The sequence below is a fragment of the Homo sapiens genome, chromosome 12, assembly GCF_000001405.40.
Source record: "Homo sapiens chromosome 12, GRCh38.p14 Primary Assembly".
NCBI lineage: Eukaryota > Metazoa > Chordata > Mammalia > Primates > Hominidae > Homo > Homo sapiens.
Genome location: NC_000012.12, coordinates 11,105,372 through 11,122,710, shown reverse-complemented (window position 1 = coordinate 11,122,710; position 17,339 = coordinate 11,105,372). Strand labels below are relative to the sequence as shown.

The following is a 17,339-nucleotide window of genomic DNA, read 5'->3' as shown; positions in this document are numbered from 1 at the left end:
TTGTATACATTCATGTATAACTCTAAGAGATTTTAAGAAGAAACTTTCTGATTTTAGTTGCAACTTTTGGAAATTTGACATGATGTTTCCTGCCAACCCCAGATTTTTCAACAGGTTTTTCTTTTAGGTTTAATTATTGACTTCATATGACAAAACTTTGACATTCTCCAACTATTTTTCCCTTGTATCCTGAATTCCTGACACAACAAGTGTGGACATATTTCCCACACTTTTGGTTTAGCAGAATACCTATGTCACTTATGTTTTTCTGCAAGAGAAAATCCTCCAAAACTACATTAGATATTTGTATCTCATATGTCTTTGGATTTCATTTTTCTAAGCTGGGTTTGATGGATGGCTGTGGTGATTGGAGATGGGCCACGTACTGCATCTTGAAGATAGAGTTTGGATGATTTAGGCTAGATCAGGCAGTGGCATTCTGACTCCATTAGTTTCTCATTCTTCTTCTGGGAACAGTGTAATAGCCAGATGATGTCCTTATGGTAAATGGAAAAGAGCAAGAAACTCCAATGTGGAAGCCATCTTAAATCTCTGTGTAAAGTCTACTAATTTCCTGTTCATTGAAGCAAGTTACAGGAGTGCACACGCATATATATATGTGTGTATATGTGTGCATGTGTATGAATAACAACACTGACCATAAATTATGAAGCCGAGTACATTTCACATATATATGTATGTTTATTATATGATAGTTTATTGTATGATATTTCATTTGAAGAATTATCTCTATTTATAATTAAGAACATATAGCTTTTATCAGCAAATTATTGCTGTTTTCCATTGTAATTTGTACCACATGTATGAACTTAACTATCATTGTTTGAACATCTAATTTTTTGGATGGTAAAGACATTCAACTCTAAATCAATGAGGAGAATGTATCTTTGGGGTAGGTTTTATTTCATTATGAATTCTTATTTTATGTTGTTGTTAGATAATGATGCACACAATTAAATTTGAGTGACAAACATACGTAGAGTAAATTTTGTATATGTATACCAAAAACAGTACTAAAGAATACTAGATTTATACCAGTATGTGAATAGCTTAGAAAAAAAATTCGTTTGTATAATAGGAATGAAGAAACATAATCATGATCATTTCAGTGCTGTTATAATTTTTTATGTGTAGTTAGAAAAGAGATTTCTTCCACTTTTTAATTAAAGAAAGCCTTTTTTGAAGTTGACATCTGATGTCAAGTATTTCCATTTAATTTGCTTAGCCACCTCTGAGCCCCTGAATTTCCAATTATCTCCTTTGTCTCCCATTCCTAATATTCCTCAAAAAAATTCAAATATTCCTTCTCTTAAAAAAAACTCAATGTAAAGAGGGTATAGAAACTATGGATCATAACTGAATGAAACATTCTGCAAATATTACAAATTATCTGTCTAATCAATATATTGATGATAGGAAACGTATTAATGATATGTTTTATTGGGGGTGGGCAGTGAGCTGAGGATCCTCAGGCATCTCTTTCTATTTTTATTTTGTTTCTCTACGTAGTTTCTCCAGCATTTGGCTCTAGGTGCCAAGGGCACATGTGACAAGAAGGTGCCAGCTTTATAAACCTTGGAACTTCTTCTGTGTCAGTTCTGAGACATACAGTTTACTAAAACACATCATGAAGGCCTGTTTTGAAGAGAAGGGGAATAAGACTGCATCTGTTCATATGAGGTATGTCGAAGCACTTGGATATGTTTTCAAACCACCAATCTTGATCATTTAGAAATGTGCTCCCTTTTCCAATTTCATCCTGATAAAAATGTATGATCTCTGGACGTTGCCAATATTCCCCTCCATTCCATCATGAGCCGTTCTCTGTAATTCAGAATCTGTGGACTAAGCTGTAAAACTAATGACTGTCAATCTATTCTACGTGAAATAGTGGGCCAAAGAAAAAGGAAAACATGATAAGCAGTAAAAATATATACACAACATTTTTTGCTTACACTAATGATCAAATAACACCCATAGGACCAAACCTCCCACAGATACTTTCTATAAATTCTGGATAAAATATTTAAAAAAAAAACAGCCATCTGAAGGCAATGGAGAATGAACAAAATAGGCCGATACTGAAAAGCAGTTGACACTTGGAAGAAGGAAATAGCAAGGAGTGAGTTTCCTGATTTTATAGCTGGCCCTAGTGTGCACCAGGCAGAGGACTAAAACGTCAGTAAAAAAGCTGTAGAGTTACTGGGTTGAAGTAACAGAGGACTGAGTTTAGGGTAACATGAGCCGCAGGAGATCAGGAGAAAATCTGAGAAAGGAGAAGTCCAGAAAAGGGGAGCCCCAGCTTCTGACTATAAACTATCCAAAGCTTTGTCTGGTCCCTACACCACACATGTATAGGCAGACTTCATGAAGCCCAGCTAAAATAATAAAATTGATTTCAGTTATCATCAAGCACAGTGAGGACAGAAATAGCAACAAAACACATTACTTTAGGCAAAGATACTCTTTTCTTGAAAACCCAAACTACATTCCATTACCTTTCATAACAGTCATATTCCTTGTCCATTCTTGTTTCTACCATGGTTCTAACTCCTACTTTTATTCATTACATTAATCAAAGTAATTCTCTTTCAAAGAGGAAACTGGAAGTTATGTAATTGAGGACTATTAAAAATAAGTATTTTGGCAGATGTGCAAAATTCTCAAGCACATATATTACAACTTTCTATAGTCATATACATCCTTTTTACACTTGCTTGAATTGGCATACAAAACTCCCATGTTTGTTAATGTAATCCAAACAAATAGCCAGTCCATAAAATATAAAAGTTACATTTAGTTATTTATTTATATAACCCGTGATTGGTGACCACATTTCAGTATTCCATCTTAACTAGTAATTATCCAAAGATTTTCATGAAGTCACTGAATCTAATATTAGTCTAAGGTCTTGAACTAGGAATCTTGGAAATTAAATTTAAGACAATAGGCTACAGAAAATAATTACTGTCAATATGTGGAATTTTTCATAATTTGTATTCAGTTTGTTTGAAAACATAATTTTACATTTTTTGGTATTTTAACATTATGTGGGCATATTAGTTTACCTTATCAGTAAACAGGTATGGGAAGTTTAGGAATTTCTTTTTTTTTAATGTATTTTTAAGTTTTGTGGATATATAGTAGGTCTGTATTGAGTACACGGGATGTGTTGATACAGGCATGCAAAGAGTAATAATCACATAAGAATGGGGTAGCCATCCCCTCAAACATTTACTCTTTTTTGTTACAAACAATCCAGTTATACTCTTTTAGTTACGTTAAAATGTACAGCTAAATTATCATTGACTATAGTCACTCTGCTGTGGTATCAAATAGTAGGTCTCATTCACTCTTTCTATTTTTTTTTTTTGGTAGCCATTAACCAGCCACACCTTCCCTTTAGCCCCCACTACCTTTCCTAGCCTTTGTTAACCATCTATGTACTCTCTATGTCCACGAGTTCAATTGTTTTGATTTTTAGATACCACAGATGAGTGAGAAAGTGCAATGCTTGCCTTTCTGCACAAACATTGCAGTTATTTTTTACTTATTCAACTTAACATAATAATCTCCAATTCCATCCGTATTGCTGCAAATGACAGGATCTCATTTTTTAAATGGCTGAATAGTACTCCACTGTGTATATGTACCACATTCTCTCTCCCTCTTTTTTTTTTTTTTTTTTTTTTTTTTGAGATGGAGTCTCGCTCTGTCTCCAGGCTGGAGTGCAGTGGCGCAATCTCGGCTCACTGCAACTTCAGCCTCCCAGGTTCAAGTGGTTCTCCTGCCTCAGCCTCCTGAGTCGCTGGGACTACAGGCGCCAGCCACCACGCCCAGCTAATTTTTTTGTATTTTTAGTAGCGATGGGGTTTCACCATGTTGGCCAGGATGGTCTCAATCTCTTGACCTCATGATCCACCCACCTCGGCCTCCCAAAGTGCTGGGATTACCGGTGTCAGCCACCGCCCCCGGCCATACCACCTTCTCTTTATCTATTCATCTGTTGCTGGACACTTTGATTGCTTCCAAATCTTGGCTATTGTGAACAGTGCTACAACAAACATGGGAGTGTGGATACCTGTTTGATACACTTACTTCCTTTCTTTTGGGTATATACCCACCAGCGAGATTGCTGGATCATATGGTAACTCTAATTTTAGTCTTTTGAGAAACCTTTAAACTGTTTTCCATAGTGGTTTTACTAATTTATATTCCCACCTGCGGTGTACAGTGGTTCCCGTTTCTCCACATCCTCACCAGCATTTGTTACTACCTGTCTTTTGTATATAAGCTGTTTTAACTGGGATGAGATGATATCTTATTTTAGTTTTGATTTGCATTTCTCTGATGATCAATGATGTTGAGCACCTTTTCACATGTCTGTTTGACATTCGTATATCTTGTTTTGAGAAATGACTATCCAAATATTTCACCCATTTTTTTGATCAGATTGTTAGATTTTTTTTCCTATACAGTTGTTTAAGCTCCTTTTATATTCTGGTTATTAATCCCTTGCCAGATGAGTAGTTTGCAAATATTTTCTCCTATTCTGTGGATTGTCTCTTCACTTTGTTGATCATACCTTTGCTGTGCAGAAGTATTTTTTAACTTGATGTGATCCCAATTGTGCATTTTTTACTTGGTTGCCTGTACTTGTAGGGTATTACTACTTAAGAAATTTTTGCTCAAACCAATGTCCTGGGGAGTTTCTCTGATGTTTTCTTATGGGAGCTTCATGGTTTGAGATCTTAATCATACATCTTTAATCCATTTTGATTTGATATTTGTATAGATATATGGGCCTAGTTTCATTCTTCTGCATATGGATATTCAGTTGTCCCAGCACCATTTATTGAAGAGACTGTCTTTTTCCAGTGTACGTTCTTGGCATCTTTTTCAAAAATGAGTTCACTGTAGGTGTGTGGGTTTGTTTCCGAGTTGTCTGTTCTGTTCCATCGTTCTATGTGTCAGTTTTAATGCCAGTACATGCTGTTTTGGTTTCTGTAGCCTCAGTAGTAAGTATCATATGAAGTCAAGTAACATGATTCCTTCAGTTTTGTTCTTTTTTCTTAGGATAGTTTTGGCTATTCTGGGTCAGTTGTGGCTCTATATAAATTTTAGGATTGTTTTCTCTATTTCTGTGAAGAATGTTTTTGGTATTTTGATAGGAATTGCATTGAATCTGTAGATTCTTTGGGTAGTATGGCCATTTTAACAATGTTGATACTTCTAATCCATGAACATGGACTATCTTTTCTTTTTTTGGGTGTCCTTTTCCATTTCTTTCATTAGAGTTTTATAGTTTTCATTATAGAGCTATTTCATCTCTTTGGCTGAGTTAATTTTCAGGTATTTAATTTTATGTGTGACCTTTGTAAGTGGGATTACTTTTTTGATTTTGTTTTCAAATTGTTCACTATTGGCATGTAGAAATACTACTAATTTTTTATGTTAATTGTGTATTCTGCAAATTTACTGAGTTTGTTTATCAATTCTAATAGTTTTTGGTACAGTCTTCAGGTTTTACAAATATAAGATCATATTGTTTACAAACAAGCGTAATTTGACTTGTTCCTTTCCTATGTGGATGCTCTTTATTTTTCTTGAGTGATTGCTCCAGCCAGAGCTTCTACTATTATGTTGAATAATAGTAGTGAATGTGAGCATTCTTGTCATGTTCCAGATCTTAGAGGAAAGCCTTTTAGTTTTTCCCAATTTAGTATGATACTAGTTGTGGGTCTTTTTATGTGATTTTTATTATGTTGAGATTTTCCTTCTATATCCAGTTTTCTGAGGGTTTTTATCATGAAGGAATGTTGAATCTTATCAAATGCTTTTTCAGCATTAATTAAAACGTTTATATGGTTCTTGACCTTCATTCTGTATATATGATGTATCACATTGATTGATTTGTGTATGTTGAACTATCCTTGCATCCTAGGGATAAATCCCACTTGTTCATGAGGAAATATCTTTTTAATGTATTATTTAATTTGGTTCACTAGTATAGTATTGAGACTTTGGAATCAATATTCATCAGAGATATGTGCTTGTTGTTTTCCTTTTTAGATGTGTCTTTGTCTGGTTTTGGTATCAGGGTAACAAGAATTTCAAGAATGAGCCTGGAAGTATTCCCTCTTCCTCTGTTTTTCAGAATAGTTTGTGTAGGATTGGTATCAGTTATTCTTTAAATGTTTGGTAGAATTCAGCTCTAAAGCCATCTGCTCCCAGGCTTTGTTTTTTGTTTTTTGTTTGTTTTGTTTTGTTTTGTTTTTTCTAAAGTGGGAGACTTTTTATTGCAGAATTAATCTCATTACCTGTTTTTGGTCTTATCAGGTTTTGGATTTCTTCATGGTTCAATCTTTGTAGGTTGTATGTGCCTGGGAATTTTTCCATTTTTTTAGAGATTTCAATTTATTGGCATATAGTTGCTCATAGTAGTCACTAATAATTCTTTGAATTTCAGTGGTATCAGTTGTAATATCTCTGCTTTCATGTCTGATTTTATTAATTTTGATCTTTTTTTCTTGGTCGGCCTGAACGTTTGTCAATGTTGTTTAACTTTTCAAGAAAACAGGTTTTTGTTTCATTGATCTTTTGTATTGTTTTCTTCATTTCAATTTCATTTATTTCTGCTGTAATTTTTATTATTTGTGTTCTTCTACTAATTTTGGGCTTGGGTTACTCTTGTTTTTTCAGTTATTTAAGATACACATTTAGGTTGTTTATTTCAAGTTTTTCTTCTTTTCTGATGTAGGCCCTTATAGCTATAAATTTCCTTCTTAGTATTGCTTTCGCTGTATTTCATAGATTTTGGTATGTTGTGTTTCCACTATCATTTGTTTCTAGCATTTTTTCAATTTCCTTTTAAATTTCTTTGATGACCTACTGGTCATTCAGGAGCATATTGTTTCATTTCCATGTGTCTGTATAGTTTCCAAAATTCCTCTTGTTATTGAGTTCTAGTTTTATTCCATTGTGGTCAGAGTTGATGCTTGGTAATATTTCAATTTTTTGGATTGTTCAAGACTTGTTTTGTGATCTAACATATGGTCTATCCTTGAGAAAAATCCATGTGCTGAGGAAAAGAATGTTTATTCTGAAACTTTTGGATGAAATGTTATGTAAATATCTGTAATCAATTTGTTCTATACTGCAGATTAAGTCTGATGTTTCTTTGTTGATTTTCTGTCTGGAGGATCTGTCTGATGCTGAAAGTGGAGTGTTGAAGTCTCCATCTATTATTGTATTGAGGCTTTCTCTTTGCTTTGGTCTAATAGTATTTGCTTTATATATCTGGGTGCTCCAGTGTTGAGTGCATATATATTTACAATTGCAATATCATTTTGATGAATTGACCCCTTTATCATTATATGGTGACCTTTATCTCCTCATAGTTTTTGTCCTGAACTCTATTTTGTCTAATACTTGTATAGGTACTCCACTTTTTTTGGCTTCCATTGCCATGAATTATCTTTTTCCATCCCGTTGTTTTCTTTCTGTGCATGTCTTTATAGACAAAGTGTGTTTCTTAGAGGCAACAGATTGGTGTTTTGTTTGTTTGTTTGTTTTTCCATTTAGCCAGACTATGTCTTTTGATTGGAGAGTTTAGCCCATTTACATTCAATGTTAGTATTGGTAGTTAGGACTTACTTTTGTCATTTTGTTATTTGTTTTCTGGTTATGTTGTGGTCTGCTCTTCTTTCTTTCCTACCTTCCTATTTTTCTTTAGTGAAGGTTATTTTCTCTGGTGATATAATATAGTTTTTTGCTTTTTATGTTTGTGTATCCATTCTATGCTTTTTGGTTTGAGATTACCATGAGGCTTGCAAATACTACCCTCTAACCCATTATTTCAAGCTGATAACAACTTAGCACTGTTCGCATAAGCAAACAAACAAGCACAAAAACAAAACAAATGAAGACTCTGCACCTTAACTCCATCTTCTTCATTTTTAACTTTCTGTTTTCACTATTTATTTCTTATTGTACTGTGTATGTATTCAAAGGTTGTTGTGGCTATTATTTTTTTAATTATACTTTAACTTCTGGGATACATGTGCAGAACGTGCAGGTTTGTTACATCGGTGTACATGTGCCATGGTGGTTTGCTGCACCCATCAACCCGTCATCTACATTAGATATTTCTCCTAATGCTATCCCTAGCCCCCCTCACCCTAAAAGGCCCAGTTGTGTGACGTTCCCTGTGTCCTCCCTGTGTCCATGTGTTCTCATTGTTTAGCTCCCAATTATGAGTGATAATGTGGTGTTTGGTTTTCTGTTCCTGTGTTAGTTTGCTGAGAATGATGGTTTCCAGCTTCATCCAGGTCCCTGCAAAGGACATGAACTCATCCTTTTTTATGGCTGCATAGTATTCCATGGTACATATGTGCCACATTTTCTTTATACAGTCTATATTTGATGGGCATTTGGGTTGGTCCCAGGTCTTTGCTCTTGTGAACAATGCTGCAATAAACATACATGTGCATGTGTCTTTATAGTAGAATAATTTATAATCCTTTGGGTATGTACCCAGTAATGGGATTGCTGGGTCAAATGGTATTTCTGGTTCTAGATCCTTGAGGAATCACCACACTGTTTTCCCCAATGGTTGAACTAATTTGCACTCCCACCAACAGTGTAAAAGCATTCCTATTTCTCCACCTACTCTCCAGCATCTGTTGTTTCCTGACTTTTTAATGATCACCATTCTGTCATGAGATGGTATCTCATTGTGGTTTTGATTTGCATTTCTCTAATGAGCAGTGATGATGAGCTTCTTTCTTTCCCATATTTTCTTGGGAACATAAATGTCTTCTTTTGAGAAGTGTCTGCTCATATCCTCCACCCACTTTTTGATGGGGTTGTTTGTTTAATAGATTGCAAAAATTTTCTCCCATTCTGTAGGTTGCCTGTCACTCCGATGATAGTTTCTTTTGCTGTGCAGAAGCTCTTTAGTTTAATTAGATTCCATTTGTACATTTTGTCTTTTGTTGCAATTGCTTTTGGTGTTTCAGTCATGAAGTCTTTGCTCATGCCTACGTCCTGAATGGTATTGCCTAGGTTTTCTTCTAGGGTTTTTATGGTTTTGGATATTACATTTAAGTTTTTAATCCACCCTGAATTAATTTTTGTATAATGTGTAAGGAAGGGGTCCAGTTTCAGTTTTCTGCCTAAGGCTAGCCAGTTTGCCCAACACCATTTATCAAATAGGGAATCCATTCCCTCACTGCTTGTTTTTTGTCAGGTTTGTCAAAATCAGATGGTTGTAGATGTGTGGCATTATTTCTGAGGCCTCTGTTCTGTTCCATTGGTCTATATATCTGTTTTGGTACCAGTACCATGCTGTTTTGGTTACTGTAGACTTGTAGTATACTTTGAAGCCAGGTAGTGTGATGCCTCCTGCTTTGTTCTTTTTGCTTAGGATTGTCTTGGCTACACGGGCTCTTTTTTGGTTCCATGTGAATTTCTAAGTAGTGTTTTCCAATTCTTTGAAGAAAGTCAATGGTATGAAATGTTTTTCCATGTGTTTGTGTCCTCTCTTATTTCCTTGAGAAGTGGTTTGTTGTTCTCCTTGAAGAGATCTTTCACATCTCTTCTTAGCTGTATTCCTAGGTATTTTATTCTCTTTGTAGCAATTGTGAAATGGAGTTCACTCATGATTTGGCTCTCTGTTTGTCTGTTATTGGTGTATAGGAATGCTTGTGAATTTTGCATGTTGATTTTTTATCCTGAGACTGCTGAAATTGCTTATCAGCTTAAGGAGATTTGGGGCTGAGATGATGGGTTTTTCTAAATATACAATCCTGTCATCTGCAAACAGAGACAGTTTGACTTCCTTTCTTTCTATTTGAATACCCTTTATTTCTTTCTCTTCCTGATTGTCCTGGCCAGAATTTCCAATACTATGTTGAACAGGAGTGGTGAGAGATGGCATCCTTGTTTTGTGCCGATTTTCAAAGGGAATGCTTCCCGTTTTTGCCCATTCAGTATATTGGCTGTGGGTTTGTCATAAATAGCACTTAATATTTTGAGATACATTCCATCAGTACCTAGTTTCTTGAGTGTTTTTAGCATGAAGGCATGTTGAATTTTATCAAAGGCCTTTTCTGCATCTGTTGAGATAATCATGTGGTTTTTGTCATTGGTTCTGTTTATGTGATGGATTATGTTTATTGATTTGCATATGTTGAACCAGCCTTGCATCCCAGGGTTGAAGACGACTTGATCTTGGTGGATAAGCCTTTTTATATGCTGCTGGATTTGGCTTGCCAGTATTTTATTGAGGATTTTCGCATCGATGTTCATCAAGGATATTGGCCTAAAATTTTCTCTTTTTGCTGTGTCTCTATCAGGTTTTGGAATCAGGATGATGCTGGCCTCATAAAATGAGTTAAGGAGTAGTCCCTCTTTTTCCAGTGTTTTGAATAGTTTCAGAAAGAATGGTACCATCTCCTCTTTGTACCTCTGGTAGAATTTGGTTGTGAATATGTCTGTTCCTGGACTTTTTTTGGTTGCTAGGCTATTAATTACTGTCTCAGTTTCAGAACTTGTTATTGGTCTATTCAGGGATTTGACTTCTTCCTGGTTTAGACTTGGGATGTTGTATGTGTCCAGTATTTTATCCATTTCTTCTAAATTTTCTAGCGTATTTGCATAGAGGTGTTTATAGTATTCTCTGATGATAGTTTGTATTTCTCTGAAGTCAGTGGTAATATCTCCTTTATTATTTTTTATTGTGTCTATTGGATTATTCTCTCTTTTCTTCTTTACTAGTCTGGCTAGCTGTCTTTCTATTTTGTTGAACTTTTCAAAAAACCAGCTCCTGGATTCATTGATTTTCTGAAGGGTTTTAGGTGTTTCTATCTCCTTCAGTTGTGCTCTGACCTTAGTTATCTCTTGTCTTCTGCTAGCTTTTAAATTTGTTTGCTCTTGCTTCTCCAGTTCTTTTAATTGTGATGCTAGGGTGTCAACTTTAGATCTTTCCCACTTTCTCCTGTGGGCATTTAGTGCTATAAATTTCCCTCTAAACACTGCTTTAGCTGTGTCCCAGAGATTCTGGTACATTTTGTCTTTGTTCTCATTGGTTTCAAAGAACTTATTTATTTCTGTCTTAATATCGTTATTTACTCAGTAGTCATTCAAGAGCAAGTTGTTCAGTTTCCATGTAGTTGTGCAGTTCTGAGTGAGTTTCTGAATCCTGAGTTCTAATTTGATTGCACTGTGGTATGAGAGACTGTTTGTTATGATTTATTTTGTTTTGCATTTGCTGAGGAGTGTTTCACTTCCACTTATGTGGTCAGTTTTAGAATTAGTGTGATGTGGTGCTGAGAAGAATGTGTATTCTGTTGATTTGAGGTGGAGAGTTCTGTAGATGTCTATTAGGTCAGCTTGGTCCAGAGCTGAGTTCAAGTCCTAATATCCTTGTTAATTTTCTGTCTCATTGATCTGTCTAATATTGACTGTGGGGTGTTAAAGTCTCTCACTATTATTGTGTGGGAGTCTAAGTCTCTTTGTAGGTCTCTAAGAACTTGCTTTATGAATCTGGGTGCCCCTGTATTGGGTGCACATATATTTAGGATAGTTAGCTCTTCTTGTTGCGTTGATTCCTTTACCATTATGTAATTCTCCTCTTTGTCTTTTTTGACCTTTGTTGGTTTAAAGTCTGTTTTATCAGAGTCTAGGATTGCCACCCCTGCTTTCTTTTGCTTTCCATTTGTGTGGTAAATATTCCTCCATCCCTTTATGTTGAGACTATTTGTGTCTTTGCACATGAGATGGGTTTCCTGAATACAGCACAACAATGGGTCTTGACTCTATTCAATTTGCTGGTCTGTGCCTTTTAATTGGGGTATTTTTCCCATTTACATTTAAGGTTAATATTGTTATGTGTGATTTTTTTCCTATAATTATGATGCTAGCTGGTTATTTTGCTTCATTAGTTGATGTAGTTTCTTCATAGTGCCAATGGTCTTTACAATTTGGTGTTTTTCTGAAGTGGCTGGTACTGGTTTTTCCTTTCCACATTTAGTGCTTGCTTCAGAAGCTCTTGTGAGGCAGGCCTGGTGGTAACAAAATCTCTTAGCATTTGCTTGTCTGTAAGGATTTTATTTCTCCTTCAACTATGAAGCTTTTTGGCTTGCTATGAAATTCTGGGTTGAAAATCCTTTTCTTGAAGAATGTCCCCACTCTCTTCCGGCTTGTAGGGTTTCTGCCAGGAGATCTGCTGTTAGTCTGATGGGCTTCTCTTTTTGGTGACTCAGCCTTTCTTTCTGGCTGTTCTTAACATTTTTTCCTTCATTTCAACCTTGGTGAATCTGACTATTATGTATTTTTGGGTGCTCTTCTCAAGGAGTATCTTTGTGGTGTTCTCTGTATTCCCTGAATTTGAATGTTGGCCAGTCTTGCTAAGTTGGGTAAGTTCTCCTGGATAATATCCTGAAGAGTGTTTTCCAACTTTGTTCCATTATCCCCATCTCTTTCAGGTACACCAGTGAATCATAGGTTTGGTCTTTTCACATAGTCCAATATTTCTTGAGGCTTTGTTTGTTCCTTTTCATTCTTTTTTCTCTAATCTCATCTTCATGCATTATTTCATTAAATTGATCTTCAATGTCTGATATCCTTTCTTCCGCTTGATTGGTTCACCTATTGATATTTGTGTATGCTTCACAAAGTTCTCATGCTGTGCTTTTCAGCTCCATCAGGTCATTTATGTTCTTTTCTAAACTGGTTATTCCAGGTAGCAATTGCTCTAACCTTTTTTCAAGGTTCTTGGCTCCCTTGCATTGGGTTAGACCATGCTTCTTTATCTCAGTTGAGTTTATTACCCACCTTCTGAAGCCTACTTGTGTCAATTCATCAAACTCATTCTCTGTCCAGTTTTGTTCCCTTGCTGGTGAGGAGTTGTGATCCTTTGGAAGAGAAGAGGCTTCCGGTTTTTGGAATTTTCAGCCTTTTTTGCCCTGGTTTTTCCTCATCATCATGGATTTTTCTACCTTTGGTCTTTGATGTTGGTGATCTTCAGATGGGGTCTCTGTGTGTACATCCTTTTTGTTGATGTTGATGCTATTCCTTTTTGTTTGTTGATTTTCCTTCTAACAGTCAGGGTCCTCTGCTGCAAGTCTGCTGTAGTTTGCTGGAGGTCCACTCCAGACCTTGTTTGCCTGGGTATCACCAGTGGAGGCTGCAAAACAGCAAATATTGCTGCCTGTTCCTTCCTCTGGAAGCTTCATCCCAGAGGGTTACCCGCCAGATGTCAGGCAGAGCTCTCCTGTATGAGGTTTCTGTCCACCATTGCTGGGAGATGTCTCCCAGTAAGGAGGCACAGAGGTCAGGGACCCACTTAAGGAGGCACTCTGTCCTTTAGCAGAGCTCAAGTGCTGTGCTGGGAGATCTGCTGCTCTTTTCAGAGTGTCAGGCAGGAAAGTTTATGTCTGCTGATGCTGCTCCCACAGCTGCCCCTTCTCCCAGGTGCTCTGTCCCAGGGAGATGAGAGTTTTATCTATAAGCCCCTGACTGGGGCTGCTGCCTTTCTTTCAGAGATGCCCTGACCAGAGAGGAAGAGTCTAGAGAGGCAGTTTGGCTACAGTGGTTGTGCAGAGCTGCTGTGGGCTCCACCCAGTTTGAACTTCCTGGTGGCTTTGTTTACACCGTAAGGGGAAAATTGCCTACTCAAGCCCCAGTAATGGCGGACATCCTTCCCTTGACTAAGCTCAAGCATCCCAGGTTGACTTCAGACTGCTAAACTAGCAGTGAGAATGTCAAACCAGTGGATCTTAGCTTGCTGGGCTCCAAGGAGGTGGGATCCACTGAGCTAGACAACTTGGCTTCCTGGCTTCAGCCCCCTTTCCAGGGGACTGAATGGTTCTGTCTTGCTGGCATTCCAGGCACCACTGGGGTATGACAAAAAACTTCTGCAGCTAGCTTGGTGTCTGCCCAAATGATCGCTCAGTTTTATGCTTGAGACCCATGGCCCTGGTGGCATAAACACTGGAGGAAATCTCCTGGTTTGTGGGTTACGAAGACCATGGGGAAAGTGTAGTATCTGGGCCAGAATACGTCGTCCCTCACTGCATGGTCCCTTACAGCTTCCCTTGGCTAGGAGAGGGAGTTCCCCGACCCCTTGCACTTCCCGGGTGAGGCAACACCACACCCTCCTTCGGCTCATCCTCCGTGGGCTTCACCCGCTGTCTAACCAGTCCCAGTGAGATGAGCCATGTAACTCAGTTGGAAATGCAGAAATCACCCACCTTTTGTGTTGATCTTGCTGGGATTTGCAGACTGGAGCTGTTCCTATTAGGACATTTTGCCAGCCACTCCACTATTTTTTTTCATTATTACTTCATCATTTAGTTTTTCTATTTAAGTGATGTTTATGCACCACATTTACAGTGTTATATTAGTCTGTGTTTTCTGTCTCCTTACTATTACCCGTACGTTTTATAGCTTCAAGTGATTACTTATTGCCCATTAATGTCCTTTTCTTTCTGACTGAAGTAATCCGTTTGAAATTTTTCTAGGACAGATCTGGTGCTGATGAAATCACTCAGCTTTTGTTGGTCTGGAAAAGTCTTTATTTCTCTTTCACGTTTGAAGGATATTTTCTCCAGTTACACTATTCTAGGCTGAAAGTTTTCTTCCTTCAGCACTTTTAATATGTCATACCACTCTCTGCACTTTTAATATGTCATACCACTCTCTCCTGGCCTTTTTCCACTGAAAAGTCTGCTGCCACATGTAGTGGAGCTCCATTGTACATTATTTGTTCCTTTTCTTTTGCTGCTTTCAGAATCCTTTCTTTATCCTTGAGCTTAGGGAAATTGATTATTAAATTCTTTGAGGTAGTCTTCTTCAATTTTACCCAGCATTGTTTTTTGAGAAAAACCATTAATTCCTATCAAATTGCAGTAGTCCCTTTTTTGAAATCAATTGACCATGAATGTTGGTGTTAATTTCTGGACTCTCAGTTGTGTTTCATTGTTCTTTTTGTCTACCCTAATGCGAGTACCATAGAATCCTGATTCGTGCAGCTTTGAAGGAAGCTTTGAAATCAGAAAGTGTAATCCTCCAAATTTGTTATTTTTTAACAATTTCTTTTTGTGATCTTGTCACTTGGCATTTCCAGACACATTTTAGGAGTAGTTTTCCACTTTCTGTGATAAAACATCTGCTGGGATTTGATAGGGATTGCACTGAATATATAACTGCAATCTATAAAGACTCTCCCTGTGCTGGATTTCAGTTCAGCTGGTCATTCTTGCTTGTACAACTCTGTGACAAATTGAAAATATAATTTTGGCCTTTTATTTCTCTTATCTTAATTGTAGCAGAAGGTATCATGCTTTTCTGAACCTTGTGCATTCTGCCCAAAAATGGAAGTTCTCAGCCATGTGTGGTTGTTCACACCTGTATGCAAGCACTTTGGGAGGCCAAGATGAGGGGACCACTTGAGAACAGGAGTTGAAGACCAGACTGGGCAACATAGGGAGACTCTGTCTCAACAAAAAAATTAATAAATTAGCTGGGTGTTGTGATGCATGCCTGTAGACACAGCTACTCCAGAAGCTGAGGTGGGAGGACACAAATGTTTGAGACTGGAGTGAGCTGTGATCAAGCCATTGCACTCCAGCCTGGGTGACGAGTAAGACCCTGTCTTTCTCGCTCCCCTACCCCAAAAAAGAAGGTCTCACTGGTTATCTTTTATGTATCAAGTAACACACGATCATACAAAAAATTAATAATTCTTGGTTCCTGCCTGTACTAGACAGATAAAATTGAAAGCAGTTATACAACTAGTATACTAACTCCTCATAAAGACTACCTGAAGAGAATATTATTATCATTTGCATTTTACAGATGATTATACCAAGGCAGAGAGTAGTTGTCAAATGAAGTCTCAGACCATATTTGAAGCAGAAAATCTGCTTTCCTGTCTTGGCAGTCTGACTCCACAATCTTCTGTTAGAAACAATTATACTGTAAAAATGGAAAAGAAATAAAATCCAAGATTGGAGACTGATTTTAACATCGATTCCTCTTAAACCATTAAGTAATCAAAAATAAATTAAATAGAGAAAAATAAAACCAAATATTCATATATGAAGATCTAGACTCTTCAATGGAAAACGTGTTTTTTAAGTAGCCCACAATAGTTACACAATTGCTGAGTATTTTAACTAAAAAATTAATATTTAACAATTAAGTAAACTCAAGAGAAAAACTTAGTCAAAGGTCTCAGCATGAGAGATAAGTTTGAAAAATATTGAAAATGGGTTGAAAAGCCCAAATGGGAAAATAGGGCTATTTTTACCTGGATGATGTCCCTGAAATTAATTTTCCATTTTGGAAATTATAGGACAACAATTTCTTCTATCCATGAGTGAGTGAGTATGTGTGTATGGGTTTGAGTGTGTTTGTATTAATGAGCTTCTTAAGAATAAGTTATGGCCGGGCGCGGTGGCTCACGCCTGTAATCCCAGCACTTTGGGAGGCCGAGGCGGGCGGATCACGAGGTCAGGAGATCGAGACCATCCTGGCTAACACGGTGAAACCCCGTCTCTACTAAAAATACAAAAAATTAGCCGGGCGTGGTGGTGGGCGCCTGTAATCCCAGCTACTCGGGAGGCTGAGGCAGGAGAATGGCATGAACCCAAGAGGCGGAGCTTGCAGTGAGCCGGGATAGCACCACTGCAGTCCAGCTTGGGCGAAAGAGTGAGACTCCGTCTCAAAAAAAAAAAAAAAAAAAAAAGAATAAGTTATTCAAAAGTATTAGGAGCAACCAGGTTTTAAGAATTATTGGCCTTTCTGAGATTCCCAAGAAAAACTTGAATCCTTTTGGTAGGAAAAGTTTGGATTCACTCTACATATTACTCACGTTGAAAAATTAAATTTACTTTGGTGATGATCCTAGTTATGTCCAAGCTCCCTTTACCAGGTTATACAACCAGTGTGTCATCTCTGTATTAGGTTGTAAAATTTCTCTAACAACTGAAGTTGCTGAACACAAATTGTGGAGAGGTTAAACAAAGAAGTAAGTGCAGAACAATTAAAAAACTCTTCATTGGCATGCTAGTAGATGAGAAATCACTTTTCACTTCAACACCAATATGGAAAATTTTATCTTACAGCAAGGACGTTGTGTTTGAATAGGAGTTAATTTGAGCTGTTTTGGAAATCATCATGTTTTCCATAAAGACAGCATTGATTTCATCCACTGGCATATTGAGATGCTTTCCTGTTTGACATTGGTCACAGAATTTAAAAAGGAACAAGGACATTCCTGCAAATTCAGGAATCAGGTACACATAGATGTT

At 37.1% G+C, this 17,339-nt stretch overlaps 2 protein-coding genes and 1 long non-coding RNA gene across 5 annotated transcripts in view, besides 1 other annotated feature; all 3 read left to right on the top strand.

The window, feature by feature from the left end:
• Nucleotides 1-17,339, top strand: part of PRH1-PRR4 (PRH1-PRR4 readthrough) — a 325,777-nt gene that overhangs the window by 48,915 nt on the left and 259,523 nt on the right. The window lies entirely within an intron of this gene.
• The window catches only part of PRH1 (proline rich protein HaeIII subfamily 1), a 290,647-nt gene that overhangs the window by 48,901 nt on the left and 224,407 nt on the right, over nucleotides 1-17,339 (top strand). The gene's annotated exons all lie outside the window — the stretch shown is intronic.
• The window catches only part of PRH1-TAS2R14 (PRH1-TAS2R14 readthrough), a 234,202-nt gene that overhangs the window by 48,901 nt on the left and 167,962 nt on the right, over nucleotides 1-17,339 (top strand). The gene's annotated exons all lie outside the window — the stretch shown is intronic.
• Nucleotides 13,535-14,035: an enhancer, noted in NCBI's record as "H3K27ac hESC enhancer chr12:11261275-11261775 (GRCh37/hg19 assembly coordinates)". NCBI's record gives its function as "activates a minimal SCP1, AML or CMV promoter by ChIP-STARR-seq in naive H9 embryonic stem cells {active_cell/tissue: H9 hESC(naive)}" and the evidence as "EXISTENCE:reporter gene assay evidence [ECO:0000049][PMID:30033119]".